The sequence below is a fragment of the Homo sapiens genome, chromosome 16, assembly GCF_000001405.40.
Source record: "Homo sapiens chromosome 16, GRCh38.p14 Primary Assembly".
In the NCBI taxonomy this organism is placed as follows: Eukaryota; Metazoa; Chordata; class Mammalia; order Primates; family Hominidae; genus Homo; species Homo sapiens.
The window spans coordinates 56,730,102-56,746,932 of NC_000016.10; the positions used below are offsets into that span (position 1 = coordinate 56,730,102).

At 46.3% G+C, this 16,831-nt stretch overlaps 1 protein-coding gene across 1 annotated transcript in view, besides 1 other annotated feature; it reads left to right on the top strand.

The window, feature by feature from the left end:
* Positions 28–16,831, top strand: part of NUP93 (nucleoporin 93) — a 120,158-nt gene continuing 103,354 nt past the window's right edge. Inside the window, exon 1 of the mRNA NM_014669.5 lies at positions 28–110. The gene's annotated coding sequence lies outside the window, so the exon portion shown is untranslated. The remainder of the gene's footprint in view (positions 111–16,831) is intronic.
* Positions 13,676–13,970: a silencer, noted in NCBI's record as "tiled region #1622; HepG2 Repressive non-DNase unmatched - State 14:Gen5', and K562 Repressive non-DNase unmatched - State 8:EnhW". NCBI's record gives its function as "represses a minimal TATA promoter and a strong SV40 promoter by Sharpr-MPRA in HepG2 and K562 cells {active_cell/tissue: HepG2 | K562}" and the evidence as "EXISTENCE:reporter gene assay evidence [ECO:0000049][PMID:27701403]".

Genomic DNA, 16,831 nt, shown 5'->3' on the forward strand with positions numbered 1-16,831 from the left:
TCTGGGAGCGGCCAGCCTTGGCCAATCAGGAAGCGGGGGAGAGCGGCGCGAGAAGCGGCGGCCGCGTCCTCAAGCCGGCACCTGAGCGGCGGAGACGGCTGTAGCACAAGGTAAGGGTGTGTCTGGTCGCGTCCTTGCGACCCTGGGCTTGTCCTTGAACCCAGGACCCCGTGACTGGGTGGAGCGCCGTCCCCACGCTCGGAACCCCGCCGCTCATACTTCCCGTTCTCCTCATGGCAGCCGGGCACGCCTGACGCCGGCGACACAACGCCTTGTCGAGCCGCCCCCGAGGCTTGGAGTCGGGCTGCATCCCTGGGGGTGCCTTTCATTCGTCCACTTTCTGAATGCAGAACCTAGGCCTCCCGACTCCCCCTTCCCCACTGTGGTGCCCTCGCGCCACGCCCCTGCCCTCACCTCCACCTCGTGCCCCGCGAGCCCACCCTGCCTAAGCCTGCGCCACAACGCCCCGCCTGCTTACCTTCCTGACCGTGCCCTGCCTGCTTGCCTACCCCTCGTGGACACACCCTGTAGGGAGGCGTTGCTCTGCGAGGGAAGGGGTCTTTGGGGCGAGGGGAACTTATCCCAACCCTTGGCTTACCTTTTGTACATCCAGGAGGATGCTGGTGATTGGAACCCAGGGGTGGCCCACCCTTCTCTGTGCTTACTCCATCCCGTTCCCTGCAGAGGCGATGCCCAAGTTCACTGGGTTTCTTTTGAAAAAATTATGGGGCCGACCCCATGGGTCCTTGGTGAAAGTATGAAAGACACGTTGACAGAGCCTCTGGTCTGGATTTGCCCTTCTGCCAGACGTGGGAAGGAGGTTTTATTTATTTAATTTTTATTTTGACCGAGTTGTCTTTCAGCAAAAGCGAGGGTCACCTTTTTGTATTCTTTCCAGGGTATGTGGGAGGGTATCCTCGGTCATCCTAGCTTTTCTTCTTTATTTTTTTTTCTTTAAATTCTCCTTTGTGCATTTGTGTTTGCAATATTTTTATTTTCATTGATGGTGATTTCATAGCATTAAATACATACATATCAGAGGCTAACAGATTCCGTATTTATATCTCCATCGCAGGTCTCACCCCTGACTTTTATCCAGCCACCCACTTAATATCTCCACTGAGATGGGTTATAGGCAACTCAAATTAAACATGCCAAGAGAGGGCTAGCAAGCTCCCCTTCATTACTCTCCCCAAACTGCTCCTGTTGCCTCTTTTTTCTCATCTCAATAATAGGAAAGACCTTGGCTAATAACTTTTGAGCCATCGTTGACTGCTGTCTTTCTTTTTCTTTTCTTTCCTTTTTTTTTTTTTCTTTTGAGACAGTCTCCCTCGGTCGCTCAGTCTGGAGTGCAGTGGTGCGATCTCGTGTCATCGTGTGACTGCAACCTCTGCCTCCCAGGCTCAAGTGATTCTCCTACTTCGGCCTCCCAAGTAGCTGGGATTACAGGCGTGTACCACCTCACCTGGCTAATTTTTGTATTTTTAGTAGAGACGGGATTTCACCATGTTGGCCAGGCTGGTCTTGAACTCCTGGCCTCAAGTGATCCGCCCATTTCGGCCTCCCACAAAAGTGTTGGAATTACAGGTGTGGGCCACCACACCCAGTCTTCTGTTTTTCACGCCACAAATAATACTTGCCACCCTGGGCCAGGTCACCACCTCTGGTTTGGATTATTGAAATAGTTTCCCATTTGGTCTTCCTGCTTCTGTCCTGGCCCCTGTTTTTTGCACAGCAGCTAGAGGGATCTTTTTAAAACACAGGCTGTCAGATCGTATCATTCCTTTACTTAAAAGAAAAAAAAAACCCTCCAATGGGTCCCCATCTCATTAATAATGATAGACAAACCCCTTTACAGTGAGCTATAAGGCTTTACATAATCTGACCCACTGTTACTTTCCCAGTCTCATTTTCTGCTCCCTCCCTTTCCAAACGTCAGACATGCTTTAGCCTCAGGGCATTTGTGCTTGCAAGTTAATATCCATGTAGTTTGCACTCACTTCTTCCAGGTCTTCACTAGGGAGGCACCTAGTGAGGCTTTCCCCATTTCCCGCCTCCCTTCATTGCTTTAGTTGTTCTTAGCACTTATATTTCACGTATTTTTCTTGTGTATTGTTGTCTTCCCCCTGTAGAATGTGAGTGAGGGGATTTTTATCTGTTTTGTTCACTGATGTGTTCCTAGCACCTAGGTCTGGCACACAGTAGGTGCTCAAAAAATATGAACTAGATGAATGTTACTGGCACTCTTGCAGGCATGGGGATGCAGTGGTGAATGAGACAGGCCTGCCCTCATTGAACTGATAAGCCTGTGGAGGGTACCACTAGCAATAAAAGCACAGATAGGAAGTGTGATGTCAGGGCTGTTTCTTAAAGGAGGACAGGGATATTTGAATAGAGACCTGCTTGAAATGAATGAGCAGGTCATGGGACTATCTGAGAGCATTGCTGGTAGTGGGTAGAGCAGGTGCAAAGACCGTGCAGTGTGAACAGCTGGAGATGTGGTGAGCCTGAGGGTCTGAACCAGCCTCTTCATAGACTGATGTAGAAAATAAGGTTGACAGAAAGATGGATGTGCCAAGGAGGGGGACAGGTTGGAGCAAAGATCCGAAGGTGAGAGGGCCCACTCCTCATGAAAAAGTTTATTTAAAGAATATGGAGTTAGAGGGAAGATCTTTCACTGGTGTGTTCAGGGAACAGGTCACTTTAATTCAACAAATATGTATCTGATCCTGTTATGTGCCAGACTTAATGCTGAGGACTCAGAGTTGAGCATCTGTGGACCTTACCCTATAGGAAATTTGCCACTAGAGAGGGAGACATATGTGTGATGAAATAATCACAACTGCTGCACTAGGGAAGAACAGTATAGAAGATTCAGAGTAGTGTGGGAGGGGTTGGCATAGGTGGGACTTTCCCAGCTGGCTGCAGCATACATAGGAGTTCCCCATGTGACAAGATAGGGTTGGGGATGTGTTATAGAGAGTGTGTACTTAGCATGTACAGGAGTATGAAGGGAGGAAACAGGCACCCCAAAGAATAGAGAATTGCTAGGGTATATAATTGGGGGAAGGCAGCGAGGGATGAGGATAGTAAGGGTGGCAGTGTCTGTTCTATGGAGAGCACCCTTTATAGCTCTGTCAAAACATGAGCATCTTATTCTGTAGGGGATGGAAGGTGTCCCTGATGGACTTAAGGCAGGAAAGCATTTCAGAAAGACCTCCCTGACCATGGGGAGGTTGATTGGAGGAACAAGAAGGCTTAGTCGGCGTGCAAGTCAGAGAAGGGGCGAGAGATGAGGGTATGACTTTGCAAAAGGTTTGAGAAGTAGAGCTTGAGATTGGCTGAGTGTTGAGGAGGTGAAAGGGGCGCTGGGGTGACTTGAAGGTGGTTCCTGGCTTACCTGACTGTGTGCTAATTGTTTTACGAAAAGAGACTGGGAACCCACGAGAAGGAAGCATTGGTGGTGGCAGTGGCTAAGGAGAGAGAAGTGATGAGTCTGATTTGGGACATGTGTAGTTTGAGGCACCCATGAGTCATCCAGGTGTAGGTATTAGGTGGACAGTTGGAAATACTGGCTTGGGAAAAGAGTTGGGCTGGACATAGAGATATGAGAATCCCCTTTGTTTTGATAGATTAGAGTCCTCCTAGCTCACTTATTTGCCTTGTATTAATGTCTGTTAATACCTCCATCTCTTCTCCCCTGAATAACATAACGTTTGAAATATTTTATAGCTTTATACTTTTTTATAGCTTCAACTGTGTCCTCAAACAGCTAGATCCCCCATACACAGTTGCTAAAAGCCAGAAGAAACTTTCTCAAACCTTGCCAAAAATTCCTACATTGATCTGTTAGGTACACCAAAGTTATAGTCTTCTCTTCCTTCCTTCATTCATTTAACACATATTTATTGAGCATTAGGTGCTGTTGTTCAGTGTACTGGGAATGGGGCTGTGGACAGACCAGACAAGGTTCCCAGACTCAAGGAGCCTGTTAGGAGACAGACAATAAATGAACAAACAGGTAGGCATGTGATGCCAGAAATTGATAACATACTACCAACGAGGTAAAACAGAAATGTGGTAGAGTGGACGGTGGGGCTGCTTTAGCTGGGGTGTGCTGAGAAGCTTCTTTAAAAAGGAAACCTTTGAGCAGAGATTTGAAGGAATTAAGGGGGTTAGCTAGGTAGGTATTTTGGAGGAGAATATTCCTGCAGATGCAGAGGAAACAGTGACTGAAAGCCCAAGTCAGCAGTGTATTTAGCATATTTGAAGAAGAGTGGAAGGCCATAGGACCAAAGTACATAATCCTGGGGAAGAGTGGTAACAGAAGGAGTTGGGTCGGGGACAGTCATGTAGGCCTCACAGCACAGGGTAAGGACTTTGGATCTCAGCCTGTGAGTGACGGGGGCTATTGAAGGTTTGAGCCCCTTTAGAGGATCCTTCCCAGTGTGGTGTGGAGAACAGACTGGGAAGTGGGAGGGGACAAAGTAAGAACAGGGAGACAGGAAGCTACTATATCACCCAGATGTGACACATGAGAGTGGCTTGCACCAGGATGATAGTGGTAGAAGAGACAAAAAGTGGGTCTGACTCATGTATATATGAATAAATGTAGTGTAGAAATGAATTGCTAATGTAGGGTATAAGAGGAGAAAAGAAGTCAAGGACAATGCCACGGTTTTAGACCTGAGCAACTTCTAGCATGAAGATACTATTTACTGAAATGAGGAAGATGGGGAAGGTCCAAGTCTTTGTTAGATGCTAGAATACGGCCTTCCTCCCCCTAACCCCTCCCACTCCATGCACCCTACTGTCTGTGCCCATCTCTATCTTTCTGACACGGCTGTTGCCCTGCTGAAAAACCTGTGTACCAGTTGGTCCCTTTGGACACCAGAGGTCTGCTGTGAGGATGACATTAGATTATACAAATAAAGCCCATAGTGGGGACTCATACACAGACAGAGCTCAGGAGATGATGTCGGGCAAATAAATGAATGGAGTAAAAGGAATTTAGATGAGGGAAACTTTCTGTAGGTAATGTGTATTGAGGAAGACCATTTGGTAGGTAGGACTTGAGTTGGTGGTAATAATGATAGCTAATGTTTATTGAGTGGTTACTTTGTGACAGGTGAGGGAGATGCAGTTATTTTTCCATTTCACAGATGAGGCCCAGAGAGAGTAATTAATTTGCCCAAAGTCATCGAGCTAAAGAGTGAAGGAGCTGGCTGGAGCTCAGGGCTGCAGTGGAAGGTTGGGTAGGTGTTTCTTTTTGGGAAAAATGGCACAGAGCAGGACATGTGCAAGGATAGTCAGGGACCAAGTAAATCAAGTGACTGGTACACAAGGTTTATTCTGGGAGGTAGAAAGTTAAAAGCAGTGACTCACCTGGATGGATCCCTGTGAATGGGAGCCAGTGAGGTTTTTTGAGCAGGGGCAACAGCCGTGTCAGAAAGAGAGATGGGGTCGGGCGCAGTGGCCCTCGCCTGTATTCCTAGCACTTTGGGAGGCCAAGGCGAGCGGATCACTTGAGGTCAGGAGTTCGAGACCAGCGTGGCAAACATGGTGAAACCCCAAAAATTAGCTGGGCATGGTGGTGCGTGCCTGTTATCCCAGTTACTCGGGAGGCTGAGGCAGGAGAATCGCTTGAACCTGGGAGGTGGAAGTTGCAGTGAGCTGAGATCTCATCATTGCACTCCAGCCTGGGGGACAAAAGTGAAACTCCGTCTCAAAAAAAAAAAAAAAGGAAGCTAGAGGTGGCCACAGAGAGTAGGGTGCATAGAGTTGGGGGCAGGGCTAGGAGGAGGAAGCCCATGTTCTAGCATGTAAGAAGGACTTAGACTTAAAGGAATGAAGGTCTGGCCTTAGGTGGTAGTGATGGGGATGAAAGCAATAGTTAGAGGATGTTGCAAAAATATAAATACCCCATGCTATTTAAATCTGTTTAGGAGCTGGGTGCAGTGGCTCACGCCTGTAAGGCCAGCACTTTGGGAGGCTGAGGCAGGCAGATCACCTGAGGTCAGGAGTTCAAGACCAGCCTAGCCAACATGGTGAAACACCATCTCTACTAAAAATACAAAAATTACCCTGGCGTGATGGCACGTGCCTGTAATCCCAGCTACCCAGGAGACTGAGTCAGCAGGAGAATTGCTTGAAACCGGGAGGTGGAGGTTGCAGTGAGCTGAGATCACGCTATTGCACTCCAGCCTGGGCAACAAAGCGAGATTCCATCTCAAAAATAAATAAATAAATAATCTGTTTCGGTAATGAGAGTTTGGAGAGTGAGGAATATCATGTTATCTGAGTCTGTAGTATTTCGTTTCCTGAGTTTTAGTTAGAGAGTAGCAATAGTTTGGATAATGAGGAATACCTGCCTGCTTGCTATGGAAAAATGTATCTACATGTGTTTGGTTTCTGAGTCTGAGAGTGGAGGGACACCTGTAAGTAAACAATCTGAGGTAACACAGAGATGCAAAGGAACAGGGTGAGTTAGAACCTGGGAGACAGAAGCCAGGGGCAGAGGCGGAGGAGGAGTTGGGGGTGGATAACTGCATTTGGAGACATGGTGGGTGTGACAGTTATGTGCTTGAGAGGAGATGCACCAGTGGTGCCTGGAAACTCACGGTTGGAGTTTGAGTGCACGGGGGCAGGTGTGGATTTGACAGTCATTGCCATTGAGTCTTCAAGGGCAGTGGTGAGACACACACTGTGAAGTAGGGAATTTAGAGCAATATTAAAATTAACAAGTTATTAAAAATTATGTAAGATCACATATACTCATGGAAAAGAATTTGCCCTGACAAGGGAATCAAATGAAAAGTAGAAAAGTCTCCCAACTCTCACCTTGGTAATGCTAGGTTGTTTCTTGCTAAGTCAGTGCTTTGTTTCTTGCTATTCCTTCTAAAAAACTGTGAGTCAACCTTAAGTATACAGCTTAGGGAATTTTTACACATTTATTCACTTATGTGACCACTGTCCATATTGAAATATAAAGCATTTCTGGTACTTTGGTCAGCTCAGATCACCATAATAAAATATCAAAATATCTGTTGTTCTGGCTTAAACAGAAATTTATTTCCTCACAGTTTTGGAGGCTGGAAGTCCGAGATCAGGATGCCAGCATAGTTGGGTTCTGGTGAGGGCCCTCTTCCTCGCTGCTCAGTGTGTAGTCAAGACCTTTCTTTGATGTGTATGTGTGGGGAGAGGTAGGTGGAGGAAAGCAAGCTTTCTGGTGTGTCTAAGGGCACTTATCCCATCCTGAAGACCCCACCCACGTCACCTCATCTGAGTCTAATTACTTCCCAAAGACCCCATCTCCAAATAGCATCACATTGTGGGGTAGGGCTTCAACACAGGAATTCTGAGAGAATACAGTTCAGTCCTTAGTACCCGAAAAGCTCTGCTGTGCTTTCTCCCAATCAGCACTCCCCCTACACTCCCAAGGATAACCAGTATTCTGATCTTTAGTCCCATAGATTCATTTTTTCTGTTTTTAAGATCCATATAAATGGAGTCATACGGTGCTTTTTTTTTTTTCTTTTTGTATCTGGCTTCTTCAGCTCATTGTGATGTCTGTGAAATTCATCCATGTTCTGTGTAGTCTGTAGTTTCTTTTCCATTGCTGTGTGTGGTATACCAAGGTATGAATATACTGCCATAAAAAGCCCAAGTGGGATAATTCTGTAAATGCAATGGTTTTAAAATTATAATGGTAGGGACCCAGACTTTTGTTAGAATCCGCACACCTTCTGCCTCCCAAGTTGTGACAACCAAAAATGTCTCTAGCTATTGCTGAATGTCCCCTGTGGGGCAAAGTTGAGTAGCATTGGTTTAGAGAGAAGAGCCAGAGCCAGAGCCAAAGCCACAGGCCCTTTGGGGCCGACTTGGTGATCTGCCCCTGTTTATGCTAGTTGTAAGACAGAACTAGTATCATTCCTAAGGTTCTCTGTAGAGATAATTTCCATCACCACTAAAATGGGGCTGTTTCCCAGGAAGCATCAAGTAAGTTTAAAGACCGAATTAAAACATCTCACATTTGTAAATTCTTTAAGGTGAGCAGGCCCTTAGAGATCACCTGAGCAACCCCCTCATCCAGAGACGATCCAGCCCCAGGGTCAGAGGGCTGGCGTGGGATGGAGCCAAGCTGTAGTCCACAGCACTTTCTTCCCAGCTGGGCCTTCTGCTGGACAGCCAAGAGTTTATCAGAAAGTTACTATGTGGATAATTTATTTTTCTTTGTGATGCCAGGTTATTACTTCTCTTTGCTCATTGAAGAGGAAATAATACAAGTGATATTTTATGTATCAGGAAAGCTGATACTACCCATTCCTTATTGCAAACATTGAGTCACTGAGGGCAGTACTGCTACTAAATCACCCAAGTCTTTTTCTTCTGTCTAGGTTAATTTATTTTAGGTCTTTGTTTTCTCCAGAACTCTACCTTTTGAATAATGATAAGGTCTCTTTTACTTAGTCTCACAGGGCTGTAAAGAACTTTCCAACAATTTTTTTTTCCCTCTCCTCTCTCTTCCAGAGGCATCTGAAACAATGATGTCTGTCAAGATTTAATTTTTTTGGGGTTGTTGTTGTAATTGACAGCTGACAGATAATAGTAAAAAGTGGAATGATATTGTCATCTAGCTAGTTTATGTATTCAAAAGAGAGGAGAACAGAATCAGTATTAAACTTTTGATACCTTGGGTGGAGGTTTTTCTCATCAATCTTGGATGAGAAAAGAAAGAATCATTCACAAGAATGTTGAACACCATTCTTGTGTTTTACTCCTGTCATAGTCTGATTAATAAGGTTTGAGGGCAGAGTTTCTGCTTAAAATTAAATGCTAAATTTCTTTTTTTTTTTTTTTTGCACCGCCCTTAATCCATTTAATCCTGAGTGGACAACACAGCACATGTTTCAGAGAGCACAGGGTTGGGGGTAAGGTCACAGATCAACAGGATCCCAAGGCAGAGGAATTTTTCTTAGTGCAGAACAAAATGAAAAGTCTCCCATGTCTACTTCTTTCTACACAGACACGGCAACCATCCGATTTCTCAATCTTTTCCCCACCTTTCCCGCCTTTCTATTCCACAAAGCCGCCATTGTCATCCTGGCCCGTTCTCAATGAGCTGTTGGGCACACCTCCCAGACGGGGTGGTGGCCGGGCAGAGGGGCTCCTCACTTCCCAGTAGGGGCGGCCGGGCAGAGGCGCCCCTCACCTCCCGGACGGGGCGGCTGGCCGGGCAGGGGGGCTGACCCCCCCCACCTCCCTCCCGGACGGGGCGGCTGGCCGGGCGGGGGGCTGACCCCCCAACCTCCCTCCCGGACGGGGCGGCTGGCCGGGCAGAGGGGCTCCTCACTTCCCAGTAGGGGCGGCCGGGCAGAGGCACCCCTCACCTCCCGGACGGGGCGGCTGGCCGGGCGGGGGGGCTGACCCCCCCCCACCTCCCTCCCGGACGGGGCGGCTGGCCGGGCGGGGGGCTGACCCCCCCACCTCCCTCCCGGATGGGGCGGCTGGCCGGGCGGGGGGCCGACATCCCCACCTCCCTCCCGGACGGGGCGGCTGGCCGGGCGGAGGGCTGACCCCCCCACCTCCCTCCCGGACGGGGCGGCTGGCCGGGCGGGGGGCCGACCCCCCCACCTCCCTCCCGGACGGGGCGGCTGGCCGGGCAGAGGGGCTCCTCACTTCCCAGTAGGGGCGGCCGGGCAGAGGCGCCCCTCACCTCCCAGACGGGGCGGCTGGCCGGGCGGAGGGCTCACCCCCCGACCTCCCTCCCGGACGGGGCGGCTGGCCAGGCGGGGGGCTGACCCCCCCACCTCCCTCCCGGACGGGGCGGCTGGCCGGGCGGGGGGCCGACCCCCCCCACCTCCCTCCCGGACGGGGCGGCTGGCCGGGCAGAGGGGCTCCTCACTTCCCAGTAGGGGCGGCGGGGCAGAGGCGCCCCTCACCTCCCAGACGGGGCGGCTGGCCGGGCGGAGGGCTCACCCCCCCACCTCCCTCCCGGACGGGGCGGCTGGCCAGGCGGGGGGCTGACCCCCCCACCTCCCTCCCGGACGGGGTGGCTGCCGGGCGGAGACGCTCCTCACTTCCCAGATGGGGTGGCTGCCGGGCGGAGAGGCTCCTCACTTCTCAGACGGGGCAGCTGCCGGGCGGAGGGGCTCCTCACTTCTCAGACGGGGTGGTTGCCGGGCAGAGGGTCTCCTCACTTCTCAGACGGGGCGGCCGGGCAGAGACGCTCCTCACCTCCCAGACGGGGTCTCGGCCGGGCAGAGGCGCTCCTCACATCCCAGATGGGGCGGCGGGGCAGAGGCGCTCCCCACATCTCAGAGGATGGGCGGCCAGGCAGAGACGCTCCTCACTTCCTAGATGTGATGGCGGCTGGGAAGAGGCGCTCCTCACTTCCTAGATGGGATGGCGGCCGGGCGGAGACGCTCCTCACTTTCCAGACTGGGCAGCCAGGCAGAGGGGCTCCTCACATCCCAGACGATGGGCGGCCAGGCAGAGACACTCCTCACTTCCCAGACGGGGTGGCAGCCGGGCAGAGGCTGCAATCTTGGCACTTTGGGAGGCCAAGGCAGGCGGCTGGGAGGTGTAGGTTGTAGTGAGCCGAGATCACGCCACTGCACTCCAGCCTGGGCACCATTGAGCACTGAGTGAACGAGACTCCGTCTGCAGTCCCGGCACCTCGGGAGGCCGAGGTTGGCGGATCACTCGCGGTTAGGGGCTGGAGACCGGCCCGGCCAACACAGCGAAACCCCGTCTCCACCAAAACCAGTCAGGCGTGGCGGCGCGAGCCTGCAATCGCAGGCACTGGGCAGGCTGAGGCAGGAGAATCAGGCAGGGAGGTTGCAGTGAGCCGAGATGGCAGCAGTACAGTCCAGCTTCGGCTCCGCATGAGAGGGAGACCGTGGGGAGAGGGAGAGGGAGAGGGAGAGGGAGAGCGCTAAATTTCTTTTGAATCACACCTTCATTATGGAAATCTGGATTTATAATAAAAAGCATATTTGGTAGTGGGCAATACAACATACATTTAAACATTTTAATTGTCTTCCAGAAGTTCTTACTTAATGATATAAAGTTGTGATTAAATAAGTTATAATTTGGGATTAAATATTTACTAAAAGATTTTTTGAAGCAGAGATGTTTATAATTAAATGATAAAATGTTGCCAAATTGGCAACTTGGGAAAAAAGCTAAAATAGCATTTTACAATGATATAAATCAGCAGAGTTTATAAGATAATTTTATGTATCAACAACTCCTTGAAGTAGGTAGGAATTACCATTTTTGATTGATGAGGAAATTGAGACAGAGAAATTGGGGTTTTATCTCAGAGGTAAATCAGTTTATCTGCTAGTAAATGAACAGTCTGGATTGGAACCAGGTGTTTGGGTTCACAGTGTAATCTTCTCACCCATTCCGTCTAAAATATGTTTTTATTTTCCATTTCTTTTACTGTTATTAAAAACAGTACTGTTTACTGTTATTTTACTGTTATTATTTAAAATATCGAAAATAATCAAAAATAATTATTTAAAATAATCAAAAAAGGAAGATCATTGTCAGTTGTACATTTGGAAGAAAGGATATAAATAGCAACATCTGTTACTTTCTCTGATGTATATAAAATCTCCCCCTTTGACAACATCAAAAAAAATAGCAGTGCTAACAACTGTCTTTTTTAGGTTGCATGATCTTTGAAGTTGAAAGAGACAATATTTGGGTATGTTACTACATACATTTTACTAAATTAGAATTCCTCAGTCAGTATTGTTTGATTATATTGAAATTCTGCAGGAAAATAGCTGGTGTCATCTCCCCATGCAAGTCAGTGAATGGAGAGAGATTTCTTTAACATGGAAGAAAAGACAGATGGCTTTGTCTTTATTCTTTCATCTTTTTCTCAGCCCTTTGTATTTCTTGCATAACTGGGCTGTTTGGATTGTGGGTGATAAGGAAAAGGGAAAATTCACATGGGTTTAATATGTTGCATTATACTTACAAAGAGCAGTGGATTCCCTTTAGCATCCTGTGCATTAGGTCAATGGGACAGGCATCATCATTTACAAAACAGATTTCTTCCCCAAATATGCTCTCCAAATGAACAGTTTAAAGAGGAAACGAGATGGCAACACACCTATTGTGTCACTCATTTTATCTTTTTAACAGTGTTTTCACACGGGGGCCTAGTTAGGGTAGCTTACTTATCAAGTCTAGCTTAAATACCTTAGGCCCAAGAGTTGGCAAACTATGGCCTATGTGCCAAATAAACTAAGAAGGGTTTTTACGTCTTTGGATCCTTGGGGGAAAAATAATCCAGAGAAAAATATTTTATAACCATGTGAAAATTATATGAAACTCAAATTTTAGTGTTCATGATTAATGTTTTATTAAAGTACAGCCACGCCTGTTGGTTTACATATTATCTATGCCTGCTTTCAAGCTACAACAGCACAGTTGAGTAGTTGCTACAGAGCCTGGCCTACAAAGCCCGAACTATTCACTACCTGTCCTTTTACAGAAGAAGTTTGCTCACTCTTGCCCTAGGATACTAGAAACTGGGCAAGTGTTTGGCAGATATGTCTAGGATGGATGGCTCTGAGGCTCTTTTGTAGCTTCCTTTGTTTCATTTTCCTTTTCCCTTTGTAGCTTTGGTGCTTTAATTTTCTGGAGTATATCCTGGGAGTAACATAGGCTTAAGTCTAGAGAACTAGTGAGTAACAGCTATTTCTGGGATGACTCAGTGATTCCCCAGCTTGAGAGTCCATAAGCCCTGAGTAAAGGAAGAGAGGTATTCTACTCATGGCTGATGCTTTAAAAATAAAAGAAACCAATGAACTAATAATATCAGAAAACAGATATGTGGGATTTTAATATAATAAGCATGAATACTATAACAGATTAAGATTCAGACCATCTACAAAATCCTGAAGGGGGCCACTCTTTGAGAATACTGATTTACAATGGTTTAGAAGTGCTTGGCTGTTTGAATATTTAGGTATCTACTCTTTCTAGCTCGATTAAATATTTAACATAGTTATTATATTCAGAATGTGGAAATGATTTTATTTTTCATAAGACTCACATGTTAATAGTAAATGAACTGAAATTATTTTGTGCATTTTTGCTCTGCCTTTATATTTAGTTCATTTCACCTTATATGCAGTTTGGGAATTTTCTTTCCACCTCATTTATGAATGTTGATATGCCCTAAAGGGACATGTGTTTTAGACACTAAATGACAGGTGAACGCAGACCAGCATGAGGAAGTAGAAGTTTGGCCAGCCCTTGGTTTAGCTCTAGGTAGGAGCCCTCTCTTTCAAACTGTGGGTTTTACTTTTTTCATTTAGTTAATTTGCTCAGCATCCTCTAGGTGTGGTGAAGAGATCTGCATTATGGGAGCTTCCCACTGAGAACATTCCTTATTTTTAGCATAGTGGGGTATCCTACTGCAGCTTCTGAAAAAAGGTGGGTCATTGTCCTTTGTTTGATTGGCAGCAGCAGTGGGGCGGGGAGCTTTTTATTGAAGTATGATGCACAAATCATGGGTCTAGATTGACTAATTTTCTGAAAAGTGAGCATACTATCAACCAACGGTTAGATCAAAAAACTGAAAATTGCCAGCCCCCTTGAAGCCTTCCTCATCCTTCCACTTCTGTCCTTCCTCCCACAAGTGTAACCAATCCTGCCTTCTAACAGCAGTGATAAGTTTGCCATTCATTTTAAGGTTCTCAGTTGCCCAGGTTGTTGAGGAGTTTCTGTGGAGGCTCAGTAGCACTTCTGCCAAGTCCTACTTATAGGGAGAGTAATTTGTTGCCCAAGGCCCTGATACTTTGCGATGCTCTCTGAAGTGCCTGCCAGTGTTGCCTTGCCAAAAGATTCCCAATCACGCTCAAGGGCTTAGTCACTGCTGTCATAGAGGAGCCCTAGTGCTGTTCTGCTGTCCCTGCTGGCCTTTTCCTGTCCAGCCCCAATTGTGCTGCATTGACTGCTCCGGGTCCTGCTTCCGTGGTTTCTTAGTGTTGCTTCTTCCTGTGCCTCTCCTCCATAGTTCCCCAAGGATGCAGCTGGTGTCCAGGCTACATGGCCAGATTTTCCCAACACATGGCTTGGACTTCAATTTTTTTCCCCCATAGATCATTTTAATTGTTTCTGCTGGACAAAGCTTACCGAGGTTATTTTCATGATTAGTTTTTAGTCTCTTGGGTCAAAGTTGATTTAGTGGTTTAATCTCTCTATTTTGTGGCTAAATTGATATTTTGTGGTGAGGATAAAAATTGTCCTAAATTTATGAAATTAGCCATAAATTGAAGCATTTTAGCGCAGTGGGATGATTAATATATCAAAGTATAGATTTAATTGCACAATGATGGTAACAAAAAATGTATAAATTTGGAAACTTTAATAAAACTTTTTTGTATAATTAATTTCTACTGATTGAGTAATAATGCAGGACAGATCCAGTTTTTCCCAAATATAGTATTTCATACATATCTCTCTTCTTCTGTGCAGATGTGGAACAAGCTTATTTTCTTTTTACTTCTACCCTGAAGTTATGTAGCAAAATTCTTTCTATATATATCTGTTTCTTTTGGTTTGTAATTCCGTTCACCTGGTTTTTGGTCTTGGTATTTAGAGGGAAAGCACTAGTCTGGACCAAGTGTGATATGAATTCATGCCATTTAGACTGTCACTGCCTTATGCTGTGCTGCCTCAGAAATGTTAAGTATCAGTTGGTAGTCTGATACCAACTGGAAGGGAATGTTTCTGTTCAGATCTCTGCTTGCTAGTGGGTGCCCATTTGGCAAAGGAGTGCAGGAAGCCTTTGAGAAGGACAGACTCTCACCAACGGAAGAAAAAACACCTCCTATTCATTCAAAAAATGAGTACCTGCTATGTGCCAGGCACTGTTGTAGAAGCTTGGGTACGTCAGTGAACAAAACACTGTGCTTGTGCAGCTTATATTCTCGCAGAGGTGACAGACAGTAAAGGAGATGGGGGATTGCTGGGGGTGGCTTGTATTTTTAAATAGCTTTCTAGGTTGGCCTCAAAGGCAGAGTGACAGGTGAGCCGAAACAGATAGGGAGTCAGCCTTGAGTGTTTCTGGGGGAGGAGCATTCCAGTAGAGGAAACACGGAGTGCAAAGGCTGTAAGGCAGGAATGTGCCTGATCTGTTGGGGACCAGCAAAGAGGCCCCAGAGTGGCTGGCACCCATGAAAGGAGTGGAGATAGGGCTGGAGATGAGTCTGAGTGATGAGGGGGGGTGGGGCCCCTTTTGTACGGTTTCATTCTGTACAAGAGATTTAAGCAGGAGGGATGTGATCTGACTGACTGTAAAAGGATCACTGGTTGCTGGGTTGCTATAGACTGAATAGACTGTGGGAGGCAAGGGCTGAAGCTGGGAGGTTAGGGAGGGAGACTGCTGAGAGAGTCTAGGGAGGCAGCTTGGATGTGGGGAGGTGTCTAGGTAGAGATGGCAAGGACAGGCAGATTCTGGATATATTTTGAAGGTAGATTTGAAAGGCTTTGTTGGTTGATTGGATGTAGGATGTGAGTTATGGGGCCATCATGGGTTTTGGTCCAAGCAACTGAATAATGAAGTCTTCACACAGTGAGAAGGCCAAGGGGCAGGTTTTGTGGATGAAAAGTTAGAGCCCAGTTTTGGGATATTACGTTTAGGATGTTGTTCAGAGATTCAACCTTTATTTTACCATTGTCAAAAACAATTCTATATAATTAACTTAAAAAAATCTTTATTAGACCATGTTAAAGTAAATGACTGATTCTGTATTAATTACTTAAATTCATTGCTCAAAATCTTGGGGGTGGGCTGGTCATTTGAGAAGGTGAGCATTTCCTTTGTCTGACGTAGGAATGAAATATTAGTTGTATTTCTTTCTTCCTTTATCTTTTTTTGTCTTCTTTTTTAATCATAGAAAAGTTTTGCTTCATTCAGTTCTTTATTTAGGGATTTCCAAAGTTTTCCTCATGAAAGAAAAAAGTATTTTCTTTTCCTTGACTCTGTTAGAAAAATTATTTTTATCTTAGAGTAAAAATAATGGGCGGAGGGGTGGGGTGGGGTTCTGGAGAAGGGAATGCTTTGTTTTTCTTTTCCCTTTCTGGTGAATGACCATGGTTTCGTGTAATTAGTAGAATGTCATTGGCCTTGAACATTCCTGAGAAAACACATTTCTCTATCAGGCCGGAGTAGTTGTTTAAAAATGCCCCTCTTCTCAAAATTCTTGTGTTTCCTTCTCTCTCCCTGAGGATACCTTCCTAATTCTCTCATCTCCATTTTCTCACAATAAAGATTGCGAATTACAGCCTGATTATATGGGTCAAAAAAATTACAATATTTGTTTAGAAACTTGAGGTTAAGAGTTATTGTGTACGTGAATTTTTGTTGAAGATTAAAGTCAGCTTGGAACTTCATAAAGAATACCAAAGTGTCTTTATGTTTACTCCAGCTGAGCTATTTTTAACCTTTTGCCTTTGCCTTTAAAGTTAATGTCCTTTAATGCTCATTTTTAAAAGTTCTTAATGGATTTATGGCAGTAACAGTGTCCTTTTGACAATTAACCTGTGCTTCATAGCTGACATATAATTATTTGCCAACATGGCAAAACCCATCTCTACTAAAAATACAAAAAAGCTGGTAGTGTCACCCCGGCTGGGTGTGGTGGTGCATGCCTGTAATCCCAGCTACTTGGGAGACTGAGGCATGAGAATTGCTTGAATCTGAGGCGGAAGTTGCCGTTGAGTCAAGATCACACCACTGCACAACAGCCTGGCTGACAGAGCGAGACTCTGTCTCCCAAAAGAAGGAAAAAAAGTATAA